General features: G+C 37.3%; 1 long non-coding RNA gene across 2 annotated transcripts in view; it reads right to left on the bottom strand.

The window, feature by feature from the left end:
• Positions 1 to 22,952, bottom strand: part of SOX2-OT (SOX2 overlapping transcript) — a 685,549-nt gene that overhangs the window by 567,656 nt on the left and 94,941 nt on the right. The gene's annotated exons all lie outside the window — the stretch shown is intronic.

The raw sequence follows: 22,952 nt of genomic DNA, 5'->3' as shown, positions 1-22,952 counted from the left end.
GACAAAGGACCAAGGGGGATGTCTATTGAACTTGTACTTTAGGCCTGATCAATTTTCTATCATCAAGGCAAAAGGTGAGATGACTAACAAAGGAATTCACACATGAGTGACCTCATAAGCCTACAGATAAAACAGCTTAAAGAAGGAAAATACATCCTGAAATTGTGGATGATAAACTACATAAAGAAGAAGACAGAGTATGAGAATGAGAGAGGAAAGAGCAATAGTCTGTAATTCTCCTCCCTCTTCTTGGCCAAATGGACACATTAAAAGCTACTTGTTTTCAGCTGCAGATAATTGCAACATTTGGTTTGCAGTGGTCTGCTATAAACCTTCAGCCTACTTTTTTTCCCCCAGCACAGTTCCAGTCATTTCATTCGCTATTAACAACAGCATTGTGTTCAAGACAAAGCTTCTACCAACAGTCACGCTTAAAAATAAAAAGAAAAGGAATCACAACCAACACAGGCTTCCAGATAGTTCACAGTAAGTGTGCATTTGTTATTTGCTCCAGGTTACCAGCTTCTTGCCTGATTTATATACTTAGAATCTAAAGCAATTCAAAGTCCAAGCGGTACCTGCACAGACACAGAACCTTAATGAAGCACAGTGAAACCTCTGATTCAATCAAGATTCTTTCAGAAAATAGTGAGGACGAAATACTAATCCAAAGTGCCAGTGAAGGGTGAGTGATTAATTTTCACACAGTCACAAGGAATATTTTCAATTCCTCATTGAACTTGTCCAAATCACTGTAGAAATTACCAAAATCCTTTTTCCCTGTGATATTTCCTTGGAATTTTTTTCAACTTTTCTATTAAAAAGTCTAGGGGATTTCTGCCTGATAATATCAGTTTTTCACTGGGAGTAGTAAAGAAATTATCTTCGAACGATAAAAACCAGGGTTACTAAAAGTTACTATTACCTGGAAATGCAGATGCAGTGTAACATTTTATGTACATTCTATAACGCTAATCAAGGGAAAAAATATGTGAGCAGGATGCATTTTTACAATGCCATTTTTTAAACCAAAGAGTAATATAAGATCATTAATGTAAAATTACTTCCAACTGCCTAAAAGCTTGAGAAAATACCATAAATACCACCCATGACAGCAGTTGTCAAAATAGGGCTACATTTTGAAAGGCAGCCTCGACAGGTGTAATGACCTTCAGACTTGACACAATCAGTCGTCGTACACACTCATGTTAGCAATTTCTCACATCTACTGATGATAAGATAAGGAAGTTCGTTTATGTATGGACCAATAAAACAAAGATGTAGTATTATCTGAGGTATATATACAAATGACTCCACATTTGTATAAAATTGGACTTTCTATGTTCTTAAGGGAGCCCTGGATCCTTGGATTCTCTTAACCATTCAGGAAGATCCCAAATTCAGGGTTATTAAAGAGGAATTAAACAACAGCGGTGGGAGTGCACAGGCAGGCTCTTCCCACTATTGGTGTGAACATGGACTGGTGGGAACATTCTGGAGGGCAACTGGACAACATGCCTTTAAGTTTAAAAGTTTTCCTAGCTCTCGACCTAGTTATTTCACCTCTAGGAACCCTCCCAGTAGAAACTATCAGAAATGCAGATAAAGATTTTTTTTCCCCAAGAAGATACTTATCATACAGTGAGTCAGGTAGGATAGTGGTTAAGATTACAAAGTAGAGAGCCAGTGGTTAGATTACAAATTAGAGAGCCAGACTAGCTAGAGTAACAATTACAACTTGACCAACTTCCAATCGCAAGGTGAGACTTTGGTTGTTAACCTCTCTATACCTCAGTTTTCTTGCCTGCAAAATGGGGATCTCAAAAGTGTTATGAGAATTAAATGAAGAGGAAATATATGTAAGGCATTAAAGCACTGACTAGCACATAGTAAGTACTGAATAATTATTGGATATTGCTATTATTATAAATGCTCTAAACCTAGATAATTATTAACTGAATCATGATAAATACAACACAATTTAATATGTCCATTAAAGATCATGCCTTCAAATAATTCTTAATGACATAGAGAAATATTCATACTAGGTTAAAAAATCAGGACATGAAACCATATATTACGGTATCTCAAATATATATATAATACCTATGTATGTGTTTAAAATGGCAATAGTATTTCTTTTTGGATAAAGTACTTTCAAATGGTTTTAATTTTCTTGTTATAATTTTTAATTTCCATAAAACATTTTAAATTATTATTATTATTATTTAAGACAGAGTTTCGCTCTTGTTGCCCAGGCTGGAGTGCAATGGCGCGATCTTGGCTCACTGAAACCTCCGCCTCCTGGGTTCAAGTGATTCTCCTGCCTCAGCCTCCCAAGTAGCTGGGATTATAGGCATGCAGCACTACGCCCGGCTAATTTTGTATTTTTAGTAGAGACGGGGTTTCTCCATGTTGGTCAGGCTGGTCTCGAACTCCTGAGCTCAGATGATCCACCCACCTCAGCCTCCCAAAGTGCTGGAATTATAGGTGTGAGCCACCGCACCTGGCCTAAATAATTGTTTAAACTCTTACTCTTATAACAGTTCATGAAGAAGGAGTTGCAGTAGGTGCACCATTTCATAGCACTGTATGCTGTTTGGTTTCCCTGTAACCTGGCCTACCTCTATTTGATAGCACTGTATGTGTAGCATACAGTGTAGCATAAAGTCAGAATCTATGCCAAAATTCACTCTGGTGCTCAGCACTAAGATCTGGAAATGAGCTGTACTTCCAGAACTGGGAAGTAAGCTTAAATTCTAAAATTTAAAGAAGGAAAATCCAAATATATTGGATTCACAAAATTTCCTGACCTAAGAAGCTATCAGCATATGGGTTACCAAAGGCATTTTGACAATGGAGAATTCAGAAAAATGACTCAGGAATGAACTTGGAAAGATATGTATATGCCAATATGTCCAGGTTAGAGAAATCAATGAAACCAAGAGTTAGCCTTCTGAAAAGATAAATGTAAAAATCAACTTATACAGGCTGTGTGCAAAACCAACAGCTTCAGTCCAATCAATTAGGAGCAACAGACAAAACGGACAAATCATAAGAAATCTCAGTAACAAGGTCCAAGTAGTGATCTAATCAATTGCAGGAGTGTCTAAATAGAGAGACTAGGTTGCATCTAACAAAGGGACTCTCTATGTGAATTCTTTTAAAAGGGGGTAATAAGTAAGCACTTGTCCCTTCCTTTCTTCCTACCCACAGGGGAGCTAGAACCTGGGGGCAGGAAGGGAGGTTGATGGGAGAGCAGACCCTATCCTCCCACCCCTCCTTGTTCCTCAGTCAAACCTGATCCAGGGTTCAGGGAAACAGTGGAGAGGAGGAGAGCCTAGAGTGTTTTAATTAGACTGTACTAGTCTTTAGTAACTAAGTGTCTGGGAAGTTATGGAATCTTCCAAGGTATCATTAACAGTCAGGAATGCAACAGGGCAAAGTTAAAGGTGGAGAAGAGTGAACTCAATTTGGATTACTCAGTACAGGAATTACATGTGTATTATGTCTTTGTTGAAGGAAAACGTATCAAAGCTAGACTTTTCAAGAAACTTCAATTCATAAAAAGCAAAGGTCAAGAACATGAAAGTACCATATGATTCAGCAATTGCACTTCTGTGTATATGCCCAAAAGAACTGAAAGCAGGGATTCAAACAAATATCTGTACACCAGTGTTCATAACAGCACTATTCACAATAGCTAAAAGGTAGAAGCAACCCAAAAGTCCACCAATGGATGAATGGATAAGCAAAATTTGGTATATACATAGAAGGGAATATTAGCATTAAAAAGTAAGGAAATTCTGACACACCCTACAACATGCATGAACCTCGGAGATATTATTCTAAGTAAAATAAGCTACTCACAAAAGGACAACTATGGTATGAGTCCACTTATACGAGGTACCTAGAGCAGTCAAATTCATAAAGACGGAAAGTAGAATGGTGGCTTCTGGGGACTTGGAGGAGGGAATGAAGGGGTAGTGTTTTATAGGAACAGAGTTTCATTTAGGAAAGATGAAAAAGCTCTGCAGATGGATGGTAGTGGTGATTGCACAACAATGTGAATGTACTTCATGCCACAAGTTGTATACTTAAAAATTGTTAAAATGGTAAATTTTATGTTTTGTATATTTTACTACAATTCCAAAAAGGAATATAAAAATCTTGTTTCCTAAACTCCTCAATTATTTTATTTTATTATCATCCAGTATAACAGAATTAAAGAAAAGGGAAAAAAGGAGAGGAGAAAAAATGGGAGGGGAGGGAAAGGGAGAGGATAAAGAGAGAAATGAAGGGGAGAGGCAGCAAGGGAGGGAAAAAAGGGAAGGGCTGCTATATGCAGTCAGCTGTGCAATTTGTACACTTCACCCAGATACCAGAGGGGCAAATGGGGGTAAACTTCAGTCAGGAGTTATGCTGACTGAGTTGCATGCCCTGGGGCTGGACTTCAACAGGTGGGAGGAAGGGATGTCATTTTGTAATTCGTCTGTCCAGAGGGGACATCATTTGTTAATTTGCAGAATGGCACTGTATGTATCCACAGGCCTTGGAAGAGAGACAGATTGGTATGTGAACAGATTTGGTGGCTCACACCTGTAATCCCAGCACTTTGGGAGGCCGAGGCAGGTTTTCTTTCAAGAGAAGAATAAAAACTTGAAAATATCAGAATACAATGTCTGTACTAGGCATAAGCGTTTTTAATAACAATTTTGCTGCACTTGTATGTGTGTGTGCATGCATATTGGTCATGATCTAAAATGCATTTCTGAGTGAAGGTAACAACCACAAAAAGCTTGAGGCATTTGACTTCTCTAAATTCAGAGATTACATCAGAAGGGCTTCAGAGCTTTGCCATGGCATTCATACCTCTATTATAAAATGAATTGGATTTTACAAAAGTAAATTTTTGTATGTCTATTTCCCCATCAGACCACAGGATCCTTCATGGAAGGGCCTATAACTTCTCCATCTTTGAAAATCAACTCAGCACAATGCATTTTTGTTGAATGAAATAATAAATGAGGCTGGGCGCAGTGGCTCACACCTGTAATCCCAGCACTTTGGGAGGCCGAGGTGGGTGGATCACCTGAGGTCAGGAGTTCAAGACCAACCTGGCCAACATGGTGAAATCCCGTCTCTACTAAAAAAATACAAAAAATTAGCCGGATGTCATGGCGGGCGCCTGTAATCCCAACTACTCAGGAGGCTGAGGCAGGAGAATCGCTTGAACCCAGGAGGCAGAGGTTGCAGTGAGCCAAGATTGTGCCATTGCACTCCAGCCTGGGCTACAAGAGTGAAACTCTGTCTCAAAAAAAAAAAAAAAAAAAAAAGAATAAATGATAGCATTAATAAAATACGTTCAGAAAAAGACAAATAGCTCCTGGTGTTGAGGCAGGAGAAACAAAGGATAGAATCACACTTTTGACGGTGATACAGGTTCTAGGAAACAGCTGTGAGCTTCAAAGCCAGACTGACTTCAATTATGATTTCCTATTTTGTCCCTAAGGACTGTGTCACCTTGGACAACTTTCCTAACCTCACAGAGTCTTAACTTTTTCCTCTGAAAAATAGGGATATTCTATTTCACTTTCTGTGTGGTAAGATAGGCGAGGTAACATTGCATAAAGTGCTTAACATATTATTTGTAGCATAGTAAGTGTGCTATATTTGTATTAGTATGATAAATAAATATAATATCTAGCCCACATCTGCCATACTGTAGACACTCAGGAACAGTAGTTATGATTGTAGCTGTGCAGTTGATTGCAATTTTTAATATGACAAAATAACATTGAAAATCTAATTACTTATTTTAATTTGGAAATAAAAATGGAATATCCCACTCCCCACTCCCTACAAAGGAGTATCTTTCTTCATTGCTTTTCTCTATAAAATTTATTAAACTATTATATATACTTTACTTGTATATTATGTTTATTATTTGGCATCTATCTCCTTTACCAGAATAGAAGCTGTATAAAGGTAGAAATAATAATAATAAACTATCAGCTAAGCCTTTATGACCTTCAAATCTAAACCTGCTTTAGCCTGAGAGGAAGTTAAGAGTCTTTTCTGGTGAAAAAGAGAAAAGCTTTGTGGGACTGGCCACCCCCAAGTCAACCCTGAATACACCCTTGGTTTTGAAATCCTAGGTCCATAGATATTTTGTTTCAGATGGGAGAACACAAAGGCTGCAGAGTTCCATCATTGAAGAAGAGAAGTAGCTTCATTTTCCTAAGGTCAGATTCACAAATATTGTTTCATAGTTTATCTAGATGTCTGTCAAAAACTGTGAAGGGCCTGCTTGCGAGATAACAAGTAAGATTGCCAGAGTGTCATGGATGGATGTTAAATCACAAATGCTTACTCAGGATAATAACACAGAGCAATAAGCAAGATTACAGATGCTTTGCAGTCTGTTCATGCTTCAGTTCATAAGTAAATTTATTTCATGTTGCATACCTTGAACACATTTAAATATTGACTGAGATGTTATAAAAATGTAAAGCTTTGCTATTGGTACTCCATTAATAACAAATAGAAGTAACTTGAACGTGAGATAACATTTGTTTTATCTAGTTTTAAAAGGGTCTTACCAAGGAAATAATGTAAATAAAACTGATACGGATGTGTTTAATCTACGAGATAATAAAAATTTTAACCATTTTAGAAACAGAAATTACAAACACTTGCCACGTTAATTAAAACCATTTAATCAACCATTAAAGTAAATCCTATGGGGTTTCTACTTGACAGTATTTCTTAATCTAGTCTGATATGCTCTATGAACTTCAAAGTAATAAAACTTATTTTATTGAAATTGTTACATAACTCAAACCTTTTAAGTCAATTATACAATCAGTCTGAATTAGCAAAGTTTAACTGTCCTAATCAAAATTTAAAACACTTTTATTTACACATAGCTATTAGTGATACTAATCAAGGCAGAGTTATTTAAGCAATGAAACAACTTTGATGTTAGAGCCAAATCAAACTGATTTGGAAACACAGATAGCTATATATTATAGCTGCATATGACCTACGTGCATAGGGCATAGGTAAAAATTATTATCAAGAATCACGACTGATGTTATGAGTTACAACAACTGTTTTATTATTACTTTAAAATACTGACATAATTATTGATCCCTCCCTTACCCTCAGACTTTAGATCCAATTAATCAATAGCCCTGTTGATTTTACCTCCCAAATACATAATCTGTCTACTTCTCTTGTATGCTTCTGGGACCCTTGTCCATACATTATTATCTATCTCGGAACTGGTGCAATAGCTAATAACTGACTTATCTCATTACCCTTCTTCCTCTAGCAATGTTCTCCTTTGTCTCCAGTCTTCTTAATGCCATGAAAGTAATCCTTTCAAGAGTGACATCAACAAGATAGTGGAGCAGGACCCTTGACTCTTCTATTCCCCATAAGCATGCCGATTCAGCAACAATTCACAAATTCCATTTTTCAGAAATTAGAAACTAATTGAAAGGCTCTGTACCCTGGAAGAATGCAAAACTAGACTCAGCAATGCCAGTAGGTAGATTTGGAACATCCTCTTGCTGGAGATCCTGCACCCATTGCAGTGCCATATAATCAAGAAGGGTTCCCCTGGCTCCCCAGTTTACCTAGGGGAGAAAAAAGGTTGGTTTGCTTTTCCTGTGATGCTCCAACTTTTCCAGGGGACTCCCTAGATGACCAACTACTATGTTGCCAGTCTTAGAGTTCTGACAAGTCTGACATAGTCTTGTGGCCTGGGAGGGAATGAAGATGGCAGCTTGGGCTGATGGATACCATTGATCTCCCCATCAACTCAGCACTGAGTGAGCAGATTAAAATCTCAGCTCTCAGCTTTCTCCTGGTAAGGGAAAGTATTAATCCATGAGTCCAGTGCTCCAGTTTCTCTGGGGCTTGTTAAAGAACTACCATTTGTCTCTCCAACCTTAAAGCTCTGATGGATTCAGCACAGTGTAGCTGCCCAGAGGATACTGAAGATGGCAGATAGGGCTGGTAGACACCATCACTCCCTGCATCCAGCTCAGCACAGAGTGAGTGAACAAAACCCACAGCTGTCTACTTCTCTCTGGGCAGGGAAAGCACTAGTAGAGGCCATGAGAATCTCTGACCAGGATGATTGATGGTGGTCTTTTCCTGTACAAGCCCAGTCCATAAAGATTGGGAGAAGCACCTGCCTTATCTAATGGGCAGGCATCAAGCCAGAGAGTCAAGAAAAATAAAGAATCAGGCAAAGATGTTCCAAACAAGGAAACAAAATAAATCTTCAGAAACCAACTCAAATGAAACAGTTATATGATTTCTGTAACAAACTTAAAAATAACTCTCATAAAAATGCTCCCTGATATCAAGAGAACCATGCATGAACAAAGTGAAAATTTCAACAAAGAGATAGGAAATATTAAAAAGTACCAAACAGAAATCATAGAGCTAAGGAACACAATAACTGAACTGAAAAATTCCCTAGAGAAGCTCAATAGCAAACTAAATCATGAAGAAGGAAGAATCAACAAAATTAAAGCCAAGTCTCTGGAAATAATTTAGTGAGAGGAGCAAAAAGAAAAATTAATGAAAAAGAGTGCAATGGACTGAATGTTCCAAAATTTATAACTTGAAATTCTACTCTGCAATGTGATAGTATTAGGAGTTGGGATTTTGGAAGGTAATTAGGTCATGAGGGTAAAGTCCTCATGAATGAGATTAATACCCTTATAAAAGGGATACCAGGATCTCTTTTGTGCTCCTTCTACCACATGAAGACATGACAAGAAGAAGGCCACCTATGAACCAAGAAGCAGGTCCCAGCCAAACATCAAACTTCCTAGTGCTTTTATCTTGGATTTCTTAGCCTCCATAACTGTGAGAAATAAATGTCTGTTGTTTAAAAAACACAATCTATGGCATTTTTATTATGGAAGGCCAAATAGATTGGGACAAAGAGGGAAGAAAATTTAAGGGAATTATGTGACACCGCCAAGCATGCCAATATTTGCATTATGAGAATATCAGAAGGAAAAGAGAGAGAAAGGTCCAGAAACATTATTTGAAGAAAAAATGGCTAGAAACTTCCAAGTCTGGGGATGGAAATAGAAATCCAGATCTAAAAAAAACCCAAGAACAGCAAATAAGATGAACTCAAGACATTCAAATGTAGACACATTATAATCAAATTATCAAAATTATCAAAAGTCAAAGACAAAGAAAATATTTTGAAAGCATCAAGAGAAAAGTAACTAGTCACATACAAAAGAACCCTTATAAGACTATTAGTATATTTTTTCAGCAGGAACCTTGCAGCCAAGAAGGGAGAGGAATGACATACTCAAAGCACTGAAAGAAAAGAACTGCCAACCAAGAATACTATACCTGGCAAAACTCTTCTTCAGAAATAAAGAGAGATAAAGACTTTCCCAGGCAAACAAAAGCTGGGGGTGTATACCACCACTTGATCTGCATTACAAGAAATGTTAAAGGAAGTTCCTCAAGTTCAAACAAAAGGCCACTAAACAGCAACATGAAAGCACAAGAAAGTATAAAACTTGGTAAAGGTAAATATACAGATAGATACAGAATACTATATTACTGTAATGGTGATAGGTCAATGCATTTTAATTCTAGTATAAAAGTTAAAAGACAAAAATACTTAAAATAACTATAAAAATATATTAAAATATATACAATATAAATAGATGTAAATTGTGACAACAATAACATAAAGTGTGGGGGGAAGAGTTAAAGTGTAGCATTTATATATGTAATTTAACTTGTTATCAGCTTAAAATAGATTGTTATTACTATAAGATATATAAGCTCCAAGGTAACTACAAAACCTATAGAAGTTACAAAAAAGAGAAAGGAATCAAAGCATATTAATACAAAAAAAATCACTAAAACACAAAGGAAGACAGCAAGAGAGTAAAAACAAACAAAAAAGATCTAAAACATGAACAGAAATCAACTAACTAAATGCCAATAGTAATGCCTTTCCAGTGAATAACTACTATAAATGTAAATGGAATAAGCATTCCAACCAAAAGATATAGAGTGGTTGAGTGGATAAAAAACAAGACCCAACTATATGGTCTCTACCAAAATCTCACTTTAGATTCAAGGACATATGTGGCCTGAAATTGGAGGAATGGGGAAAAAAAATTCCATGCAAATGGTAACCAAATAGAACAGAGTGGTTATACTTACATCAGACAAAATAAATGTTAAGTCAAAACTGCCACAAGAGACAAAGAAGAATATTTCACAATGACAAAGGGTGAATACACAAAGAAGATATAACAATTATATATGAACCCAACATCACAGCACCAAAATATGCAAAGCAAACACTGACAGAACTGAAGGAAGAAGTAGACAACAACACAATAACAGTAGGAGACTTCAATACCCCACTTTCAATAATGAACAGAACATCTGGATAGAAGATTAATAAGGCGAAAGAAGACTTGAATAACAATACAGACCAAACAGATTTTACATAACTACACTGCACATTCTACCTAATAGCAGCAGAATACACATTCTTCTCAACTGCACATAGATCTTTCTCCAGGATGGATCATCCTAGAGACAAAATAACTCTTCACAAATATAAGAAGGTTGAACCTGAATCATATCAAGTGTCTTTTCTTACCACAGTGAAATAAAACTAGAAATCAACAGCAAACTGAAAATTAGAAAATTTACGAATATGAGGAAATTAAACAACACATTCTTGAGCAATCAGTGGTCAAAATAGAAATCAGAAAAGAAATTGGAAAATACCTCAAGACAAATGAAAATAAAAATACAACCTATCAAAACTTATGAGATGCAGAAAAAGCAACACTAACAGGGAAGTTCATAGCAATAAATGTTTACACTAAAAACAAAGAAAGATCTCAAATAAACGATCTAACTTTACACATCAAGGTACTGGAAAAGGAAAACAAGCTAAGCCCAAAGTTCACAGAAAGAAGGAAATAAAGATTAGAGAAGAAATAAATGAAATAGAAAATACAGAAAAAAATAAACAGAGTAAAATTTGTTTTGTTTGCTTGTTTCTTTGTTTTTGAGATGGAGTCTCGCTCTGCCGCCCAGGCTGGAGTGCAATGGCGTGATCTTGGCTCAAGGCAACCTCCACCTCCTGGGTTCAAGTGATTCTCCTGCCTCAGCCTCCCAAGTAGCTGGAATTACAGGCACCCGCCACTACGCCCAGCTAATTTTTGGTGGGTTTTTTTTTTGTTTTTTTTTTTGTATTTTTATTAGAGACAGGGTTTCACCATATTGGCTAGGTGATCCTCCTGCCTCAGCCTCCCGAAGTGCTGGGATTACAGGCATGAGCCACTGCGCCTGGTCAAATTTGTTCTTTTTAAAGATAAACAAAATTGATAAACTCTTAGCTATATTAACTAAGAAAAAAGGGGAAACACTCAAATACATAAAATCAAAAAATGAAAGAAAAGACTTAAAACTGATGCCACAGAAATACAAAGGAGTATAAAAAAACTACTACAAATAATTGTACACCAACAAATTGGATAATCTAGAAGAAATGAATAAATTAGAGAAGCATACAAGCTACCAAGACTAAATTATGAAGATATATAAAATCTGAGCATTATGACTTTAGTATGAAGGTTGAATCTGTAATTAAAAGCCTCTCAAAAAAGAAAAGCCCAATATCAGATGGCTTCACCAAACATTTAAACAAGCATTAACACCAATCCTTCTCAAAGTCTGTCAAAAATTAAAGAGAAGGGAACACTTCCGAACTAAATTTTTAAGAAAAGTATTGCCTTCATACCAAAGACAGACAAAGACTTTACTAGAAAACTACAGGCCAATATCCCTGATAAACATAAATGCAAAAATGTCAACAAAATACTAGCAAAATGAATTCAACAGCATATTAAAAGAATCAGGCACCATGACCAAATAGGATCAATCACTTGGATGCAATGTAGTTCACCATATGAAAATCAATTAATGTGATACCACATTAGCAGAATGAAGAATAAAAATCACATGATTGTCTCAGTACATGCAGAAAGTGTTTGACAAAATTTAATATCCTTTCATGATAAAAACTCTCAACCAACTAGGTATAGAAGGAAATTAGCTCAACATTATAAAGGCCATGCATGAAAAGCCCACAGCTAACATTACACTCAAAAGTAAAAACAAACAAACAAACAAACAAAAACTGAAAGCTTTTCCTCTAAGTTCAGAAACAAGGCAAGGATGCCCACTTTTGCTGCTTCAATTCAACATATACTAGAAATCTAGTCAGAGCAATTTGACAAGAGAAAGAAATAAAAAGCACCCAAATAGAAAAGGAAAGTTGTCTCTGTTTGCAGATGACATAATTTTTCTATATATACGATGAGAGAGAAAGAGAGAGAGAGAGTGAAAGAGAGAGAGAGAGAGAAACAGAGAAAGAGAAAGGCAAGAGTATGAGAGAGACGTTCCTTGATATGGTTTGGATATTTATCCCATCCAAATCTCATGTTGAAATGTAATCCCCAAATGTTGAAGATGGGGCCTGGTGAGAGGTGTTTGGGCCACGGGGGCAAATCTCTGACGGCTTGGTGCTGTCCTCATGCTAGCGAGTTCTTATAAGATCTGGCTGTTTACCCACTTCTCTCTCTTGCTCCAGCTCCTGCCATGTGACATGCCTGTTCCTGCTTCACCTGCTGCCATGAGTAAAAGCTCCTCGAGCCCTCCCCAGAAGCCAGGCAGATGCCAGTGCCATGCTTCCTGTACAGCCTGCAGAACCAGGAGTCAGTTAAGCCTCTTTTCTCTATAAATTACCCAGTCTCAAGTATTCCTTTATAGCAACACAAGAATGGCCTAACACATTCCTCAACTTATGATGGGATTATGTCCCAGTAAGCCCATGTTACAGTGAAAATACCATAAGTTGACAGTGTATTTTTAACTTATAGTATTTTCAACTTATGAGAGATTTACCCAGATGTAACCCCATTATAAGTTAAGGAGAGAACTGAATACAACTTATTTTCATACCATCATAAAGTTGAAAAATCATTAAGTGGAACCATTGTAAGTCAGGGATGATCTATGTGTGTGCGTATGTGTGTCTGTGTATACACACAGTGATATCACTTTATATACACTATACAATGGAATATTATTCAACTTTGAAAAAAGAAAATCCTGCTGTCATTTGTGACAACATGGATGAGCTTGTAGGATATTATGTTAAGTGAAATAATCCATGCACAGAAAGACAAATACCTCATGACCTCACTTATTTGTAGAATCTAGAAAAGTTGAACTCATAAATGCAGACTGTAGAAGTCATAGAGTGGTTGGGGATGGGACAGGTAGGAAAAATGAAGAGATGTTGGTCAAAGGGTACTAAGTTTCAGTTATGCAGGATGAATAAGTTCTGGAGATCTAATGTACAACATAGTGACTATAGTTAATAATACAGTATTGTATAGTTGAAATTTGCTAAAAGAGTAGGTCTTAAATGTTCCTACCACAAAAGAACAAAGGTAACTATGTGAAGTGATGGCCATATCAATTAGCTTGATTGTGGTAATTCTTTCACAGTGTGTAGATATATATTAAAACATCAAAATATATATAATTTATTAATTATACCTTAATAAAGCTACGGGGGAAACCAACATGGTACTGGCCTAAGGACAGGTATGTAGAGCAATGGAACAAAATAGAAAGCCCAGAAATAAATCCTCTCATTTATGGTCAACCGATCATCTGTTGACAAGGGTGCCAAGCTATACAATGGGGAAGGGCAGTCTTGTCAATAAACAGTGTTGGAAAAACTGGATATCCACATACCAGAGAATGAAATTGGACTCATATTACACTATATACAAAAATAAAATTAAAATGAATTAAAGATTTAAATGTAAGACCATCATTCTCAGCAAACTATCGCAAGGACAAAAAACCAAACACCGCATGTTCTCACTCATAGGTGGGAATTGAACAATGAGAACACTTGGACACTGGGTGGGGAACATCACACACCAGGGCCTGCTGTGGGGTGGGGGGAGGGGGGAGGGATAGCATTAGGAGATATACCTAATGTACATGATGAGTTAATGGGTGCAGCACACCAACATGGCACATGTATACATATGTAACAAACCTGGACTTTGTGCACATGTACCCTAAAACTTAAAGTATAATGAAAAATAAATAAATTAAAAAATAGAGACCTAAAACTCCCAGAAGAAAACATGGGGAAAAAGTTTCATGACATTGGTCTTGGTAATGAATTCATGATATGACACCAAAACACAGATACAAAAATAAAAATAGACATGTGAAACTATATCAAACTAAAAAACTTTTACACAGCAATTAGAGCAATCAATAGAGTGAAAAGACAACCTACAGAATGTGACAAAATATTTGCAAAGTAAATATGTAATACAGAGTTAATCTCCAAAATGTGTAAGAAACTCCTACAACTCAGTAGTAAAAAATAAATAAGTAAACAACCTGATTAAAAATTAGCTAATGGCTTGAACAGACATTTCTTTGAAGAGGACATACAAATGGCCAACAGGTTTATGAGAAAATACTGTAAGTCACTAATCATAGAAATATACAAGTGACATTATTACTGAGGGCTCTGTTCTGTTCCATTGGTCTATATCTCTGTTTTGGTACTAGTACCATGCTGTTTTTGTTACTGTAGCCTTGCAGTACAGTTTGAAGTCAGGTAGTGTGATGCCTCCAGCTTTGTTCTTTTGGTTTAGGATTGACTTGGCAATGCAGGCTCTTTTTTGGTTCCATATTAACTTTAAAGTAGTTTTTTCCAATTCTGTGAAGAAAGCCATTGGTAGCTTGATGGGGATGGCATTGAATCTATAAATTACCTTGGGCAGTATGGCCATTTTCATGATATTGATTCTTCCTACCCATGAGCATGGAATGTTCTTCCATTTGTTTGTATCCTCTTTTATTTTATTGAGCAGTGGTTTGTAGTTCTCCTTGAAGAGGCCCTTCACATCCCTTGTAAGTTGGATTCCTAGGTATTTTATTCTCTTTGAAGCAATTGTGAATGGGAGTTCACTCATGATTTGACTCTCTGTTTGTCTGTTATTGGTGTATAAGAATGCTTGTGATTTTTGCACATTGATTTTGTATCCTGAAACTTTGCTGAAGTTGCCTATCAGCTTAAGGAGATTTTGGGCTGAGACGATGGGGTTTTCTAGATATACAGTCATGTCATCTGCAAACAGGGACAATTTGACTTCCTCTTTTCCTAATTGAATACCCTTTCTTTCCTTCTCCTGCCTGATTGCCCTGGCCAGAACTTCCAACACTATGTTGAATAGGAGTGGTGATAGAGGGCATCCTTGTCTTATGCCCGTTTTCAAAGGGAATGCTTCCAGTTTTTGCCCATTCAGTATGATATTGGCTGTGGGTTTGTCATAGATAGCTCTTATCTACAACCATCTGAGCTTTGACAAACCTGACAAAAACAAGAAATGGGGAAAGGATTCCCTATTTAATAAATGGTGCTGGGAAAACTGGCTAGCCATATGTAGAAAGCTGAAACTGGATCCCTTCCTTACACCTTATACAAAAATTAATTTGAGATGGATTAAAGACTTAAATGTTAGACCTAAAACCATAAAAACCCTAGAAGAAAACCTAGGCAATACCATTCAGGACATAGGCATGGGCAAGTACTTCATGTCTAAAACACCAAAAGCAATGGCAACAAAAGCCAAAATTGACAAATGGGATCTAATTTAACTAAAGAGCTTCTGCACAGCAAAAGAAACTACCATCAGAGTGAACAGGCAACCTACAGAATGGGAAAAAATTTTTGCAATCTACTCATCTGACAAAGGGCTAATATCCAGAATCTACAATGAACTCCAACAAATTTACAAGAAAAAAACAAACAACCCCATCAAAAGTGGGTGAAGGATATGAACAGACACTTCTCAAAAGAAGACATTTATGCAGCCAAAAGACACATGAAAAAAATGCTCATCATCACTGGCCATTAGAGAAATGCAAATCAAAACCACAATGAGATACCATCTCACACCAGTTAGAATGGCGATCATTAAAAAGTCAGGAAACAACAGGTGCTGGAGAGGATGTGGAGAAATAGGAACACTTTTACACTGTTGGTGGGACTGTAAACTAGTTCAACCATTGTGGAAGTCAGTGTGGCTATTCCTCAGGGATCTAGAACTAGAAATACCATTTGACCCAGCCATCCCATTACTGGGTATATACCCAAAGGATTATAAATTATGTTGCTATAAAGACACATGCACACGTATGTTTATTGTGGCACTATTCACAATAGCAAAGACTTGGAACCAACCCAAATGTCCAGCAATGATAGACTGGATTAAGAAAATGTGGCACATATACACCATGGAATACTATGCAGCCATAAAAAAGGATGAGTTCATGTCCTTTGTAGGGACATGGATGAAGCTGGAAACCATCATTCTCAGCAAACTATCGCAAGGACAAAAAACCAAACACCGCATGTTCTCACTCATAGGTGGGAATTGAACAGTGAGAACACATGGACACAGAAAGGGGAACATCACACATCGGGGCCTGTTGTGGGGTGGGGGGAGGGGGGAGGGATAGCATTTGGAGATATACCTAATGTTAAATGATGAGTTACTGGGTGCAGCACACCAACATGGCACATGTATACATATGTAACTAACCTGCACGTTGTGCACATGTACCCTAAAACTTAAAGTATAATAAAAAAAAAAAGAAATATACAAGTGAAAACCACAATGAGATATCACATCATACTTGTCAGGATGGCTACTATCATAAAAGCAAAATACAAGTGTTGGAAAGGATGCATAGAAATTGGAACCCTTGCACACTGTTGGTGTGAATGCAAAATGATGATGCCTCTATGGAAAATAGTATAGAGGTGCTTCAAAAAATTAAAAATTAGAACTACTGGCTGGGTGCGGTGGCTCATGCCCATAATCCCAGCACTTTGGGAGGCCAAGGCGGGAAGATCACTTGAGGCCAGGAGTTCGAGACCAGCCTGGCCAACATGGCAAAACCCTGTCTCCACTAGAAATACAAGAATTAGCTGGGTGTGGTGGCACACGCCTGTAATCCCAGCTACTTGGGAAGCTGAGGCAGGAGAATTGCTTGAGTCCAGGAGGTGGAGGTTGCAGTGAGCTGAGATTGCGCCACTGCATGCCAGCCTGGGTGACAGAGCGAGACTCTGTCTCAAAACAAACAAACAAACAAACAAAACTACTATATGATCCAATCTCACTTCTGGGAATGTATTCACATAATTGAAATAAGGATAGCATCCCTATATTCATTGCAGCATTATTCACAATAGCGAAGATGTGGAAAAAAACTAAATTTCCATGGACAGATGAGTAGATAAAGAAAATGTGGAATATATTTACAATGGAATACTATTCAGCTTTAAGAAAAAAAGGGAAGTTCGGCCAGGTGCAGGGCTCACGCCTGTAATCCCAACACTTTGGGAAGCTGAGGTGGGCGGATCATGAGGTCAAGAGATCGAGACTATCCTGGCCAACACGGTGAAACCTCGCCTCTACTGAAAATACAAAAATTAGCCAGGTGTGGTAGCAGGTGCCTGTAAATCCCAGCTACTTGGGAGGCTGAGGCAGGAGAATCGCTGGAACCCGGGAGGCGGAGGTTGCAGTGAGCTGAGATCATGCCACTGTACTCCAGCCTAGCAACAGAGCAAGACTCTGTCTCAAAAAATTAAAAAATAAAATAAAAAAAGAAAGAAAAAGAGGGAAGTTCTACAATGTGTGGCAAGCTGGATGAACCTTGAGAAAATTATGCTAAAGTGAAATAATCAAGTCATAGAAAAAGAAATACTGCAGTCCTCTTATATAAGGCATCAAAAATAGTCAATTCGTAGAATCAGAGAGTGAAACAGTGGTTTGCAGAGGTTGTGGGGATGGAGAAATGGGGAGTTACTAATCTAACAACCTAAAGTTTCTGTCCAGCTAGATAAATACATTCTGTTGTACAACATTGTACCTCTAAGTAACAATAATGTGTTCTACACTTACAGATTTGTTCAGAGGGTAGATATCATTTGAAGTGTTTTTACCACAATGAATTTTTAAAAATATCCTTAAAAGCAAAAATAAAGTTACACTCTTAAAACTCCATGGCCTAAGTCCTTTCCAAGGTTTCCCACTGCATTTAGGATAAAATCCAAACTTCTTCCCAGGACTTTGATTTCCTGCATGATTTAGCATTCTGTTCACTGCTATGCCCCCAGGACTTAGCACAGGACTGGGCACTCCATAGGAGTTCAGTAAATACATGTTGAATGAATGGATATAACAAAATTATAATCCCTTGATTTCAAATCTGGTTTGTGAAAATTTTGTGTGAATGTCTATACTACAAAATGAAATTGAGAAATTCAAATATTATTTTAAGTAATTCAACCAAATTATTGTTTCTAACAGACAATAATGGCTAGTAAAAATGAGACACACCTCAGACAGAAAGCCTTTTATCAATCCCTCCTGGTCAGATGTGAAAAGAAAGGCATGTCCTTCCTTGGGCCTACCACTTACAGTAGGAGTGCCAGTTTAAAGAGATGGTAAGTCAACTGTCCCTGCTCAGATGCAGACACACATAAGATAGTACAGCCCTCATGCTAGACAATGACAATGATGATGTTGATGATGATGATGATAACAGCAGCATTTGTCAAGCACTTGCTATGGGCCGGGTACTGTTCTAAGTGATCTGAATACATTAACTTCTCTACTCCTTACAGCAACCTTACTGCTATCCCTATTTTATAGATGAGAAATTCCAACGCTTTAGGTAAAAGCGAAGCACTTTACAAGAGGTCACACAATTAAGAAGTGTGAGAACTGGGATTTTATCCTAGGCCTTTTCATCCTGGATACCCACATTTATTTCCAAGTATAGAAAAAAATCTTAAGACATCTCAGGAAGAAAGTGTTCCTTTTATGGTATTAAACATAAAATGATGAAACAGTAACGATCAGGCCTTTGCAACCATGGGGGACATTCTCACTTCTTCTCATTAGGAAATCCATATCCGTTTGACCTCCAATAATAATGTTATCTTTTTTATAAGATAAACAAGAATAAGACTCCTAATTTGTCTCAGAAGGACAGAAAACACAGAAACAGACCAAAATAAAGCATCACAAAGCCAGAACAAAGAGTATGCTGGTAAGAGAGAGGGAAAGAGGGAAAGAAAGGGTGAGAGAGAAGTACAAACTTGCACTGCCATGTGAGTCAATAAATAGAGCAGGCAGTTAGCATTTTGCAAAATCTTTTTAGAGAAAATTGCAATGCTATTGATAAAAATTTTGTATCCAGAGGAATTTGGGATAAATAGGATAAATAGGAATAGGAACTTGGTATTTGTTTCAGGTAATAGTGCTAATACAGCTAATACAGCACTATTACCTGAAACAAATACCAAATTACCACAAATTTTGGTGGCTTAAATAACAGAAATTTAGGCTAGGCATGGTGGCTCATGCCTTGTAATTCCAGTGTCTTGGGAGGCCAAGAAAGGAGGATTACTCGAGGCCACAAGTTTGAGACCAGCCTGGGCAACATAGTGAGACCTCCATCTCTACAAAAAAAAAAAAAAATTAAAAACACAGAAATTTATTCCCTACAGTTTTGGAGGCCAAATGTCTGAAATCAGTATTATTAGATGAAAAACAAGGATTGGAATGGCTGCATGTCCTCCAGAGATTGTAGAGAGAATCCATTCCTTGCCTCTTTCAGCTTCTTGTGGCTGCCCACATTCCTTGACTTGTGGCTGCATCACTCCAGTCCTCAAGGCCCATCTTGAAATCTCTCTGCTCTGTTTCATATTGCCTTCTTCTCTGTATGTGTAAAAGCTCTCTTAGAAGGATACATATGATGATACTCTAGGTCCCACTGAGATAATCCAGGATAACCTCCACATCTCAAGATTCTTTATTACATCTGCAGAGACTTTTTTTCCCAAATAAAGTGACATTTACGGGTTCCAAAAATTAGGGCCTAATATCTTTGGAGAGTCATATTTCAGCCTGCTATAAATATTAAGTGCTCTGATGAAAGGAAATAACTAATCCCAGCAGAGACTCCTAAGACAAGAATGCTGAAGACCTCACAGACCAGTGGAATTTAGCACAAGAAAGGGATTTCTCTTGGACCAGAAGAACAGTCACATTTGTCCAAATGTATGTCTAAATGTTTTTCCTAATGCTTTTTAATTAGGAGATAATTGGAAATTAAAGCCAGCATAATTATTGTAGTTTAATGCATACGAGTTTTGCTTAACTTAATTCTATTGTGAACTGTGTCTAATTTCATTCCATAATATGGGCTCAGTCAATCTTGAATAATTCCCTACTGCTTCACAGAATTCTAAGTTAAAGTGCCAATCCAAATACACTTATGCAGAAGAAGAAAGGATGGGCTTCTCTTTCCTACTCTAGTATATAAGAATCCCAGGGAAATGTTCTAATGGACAGGCCCACATAAGCAGGAGAAACAGCATGACCTTACAGGGGAAAACAATGCTCAAAGCAAGGAAGTGGACATGTCTATTGCCAAAAGAAGGGAAGAGGATTTACTGGGCAGATAAAAACCGTAGAAGTCCATTGCACTCTCTGCCAGTTCTCACATACTTAATACAACTAACCCACATGCACACAATACATAAAAACAGAGAAAAAGCTCTCCTTGCCTGAGGGAAACAACCCAAAGCTATGTCAGATTTCTGCATCTAGCCAGAAGTTCCAGATTCTCTTTGTTCTCTTCGTTTTATCCAGGTATGTTTTTTCTTGCTCCTGTGCCCTTTAGCCAAGTGTCTACACTAGTAGTGAAAGGTATGGGTCCAATCAAATTGACTGGGCTCAAATCATGGCTCCACCTCTTAATAATGTATGGTTTGGGACAAGTTACCCAACCTTGCTGGGTCTCAGTCTCCTAATCTGTAAAATGGGGATACTGACAGTATCTACTTCAATGAGTTGTTTTAAGCATCTAATAAGATAAAATATATGAAATGCACTAAGTAAACATTCAGTGAGTTCATTGCTGTGCTTGTCACCACTGTTTTAGATGCTGGAGATACATCAGCAGACAAACCATACAAAGCTTCTGTTCTTATGGAGCTTAATTTTAGCAGAGGAAATAGAAAATAGGCAATTTTAAAAAATGAAGACCAGTTAATAATTTCTGACCAGCTAATCAAGTTTAAAATGAAGCTTTTCTCTTCTTTCCTTTTTAAAAAACTTTTAAAAATTTCTTTTAAAATTCATATACAAGTAAATGCAACATAGTTTTTGGTGAACAGTTCCATGAATTTTGACAATGCATACAGTTGTATAACCACCACAATCAAGACACAGAGCAGTTCCATTCCTGCTCTCTACCCCAATTCTCTTGTTTGCTCCTTTCATTAACTCACCCTACCTTAACCCATGACAACCACTGGTCTGTTTTCTGTCTCTATTGTTTTGTCTTTTCCAGAAGAGTGTCATGTAAGTGGAATTATGTAGCCTTTTGAGTCTGGCTCCTTTCATGTATTATAATACATTTGCCATTCATCCATGTTATTGCATATATCAATAGTTCCTTTTTATTGGCTGAGTAGCATTCTATGGTGTGAAGGTATGATGGTTTGTTCATCCATTCACTACTTGAAGAACATTTGGGTTGTTTTCAGTTTTTGGCAATTATCAATAAAGCTATTAGAAACATTTATGTATAGGTTTTCGTATGAACATAAGTGTTCACTTCTGTTGGGTAGACACTTTGAGTGGGATTGCTGGGTCATATGGTAAGCATATGATTAACTTTATGAGAAAATGCCACACTGTTTTCCAGAGTGGCTGTACCATTTTCTTCTCCACCATCAATGTGTGAGGGTTCTAGTTGCTCTGTATCCTTGCCAGCACTTGGTATTGTTGTTATTTTTCATGTATTTATATTTATTTTTTTTGTTTTTTGTTTTTTTTGTTTTTTCTGTTTTTATTTATTTATTTTTTATTATACTTTAAGTTTTAGGGTACTTGTGCACATTGTGCAGGTTAGTTACATATGTATACATGTGCCATGCTGGTGTGCTGCACCCACTAACTCGTCATCTAGCATTAGGTATATCTCCCAATGCTATCCCTCCCCCCTCCCCCCACCCCACCACAGTCCCCAGAGTGTGATATTCCCCTTCCTGTGTTCATGTGATCTCATTGTTCAATTCCCACCTATGAGTGAGAATATGCGGTGTTTGGTTTTTTGTTCTTGTGATAGTTTACTGAGAATGATGATTTCCAAATTCATCCATGTCCCTACAAAGGACATGAACTCATCATTTTTTATGGCTGCATACTATTCCATGGTGTATATGTGCCACATTTTCTTAATCCAGTCTATCATTGTTGGACATTTGGGTTGGTTCCAAGTCTTTGCTATTGTGAATAATGCCGCAATAAACATACGTGTGCACGTGTCTTTATAGCAGCATGATTTATAGTCCTTTGGGTATATACCCAGTAATGGGATGGCTGGGTCAAATGGTATTTCTAGTTCTAGATCCCTGAGGAATAGCCACACTGACTTCCACAATGGTTGAACTAGTTTACAGTCCCACCAACAGTGTAAAAGTGTTCCTATTTCTCCACATCCTCTCCAGCACCTGTTGTTTCCTGACTTTTTAATGATTGCCATTCTAACTGGTGTGAGATGGTATCTCATTGTGGTTTTGATTTGCATTTCTCTGATGGCCAGTGAAGATGAGCATTTTTTCATGTGTTTTTTGGCTGCATAAATGTCTTCTTTTCAGAAGTGTCTGTTCATGTCCTTCGCCCACTTTTTGATGGGGTTGTTTGTTTTTTTCTTGTAAATTTGTTGGAGTTCAT

Source organism: Homo sapiens, chromosome 3, assembly GCF_000001405.40.
Source record: "Homo sapiens chromosome 3, GRCh38.p14 Primary Assembly".
In the NCBI taxonomy this organism is placed as follows: domain Eukaryota; kingdom Metazoa; phylum Chordata; class Mammalia; order Primates; family Hominidae; genus Homo; species Homo sapiens.
This window is presented reverse-complemented; position numbering and strand designations above follow the sequence as displayed.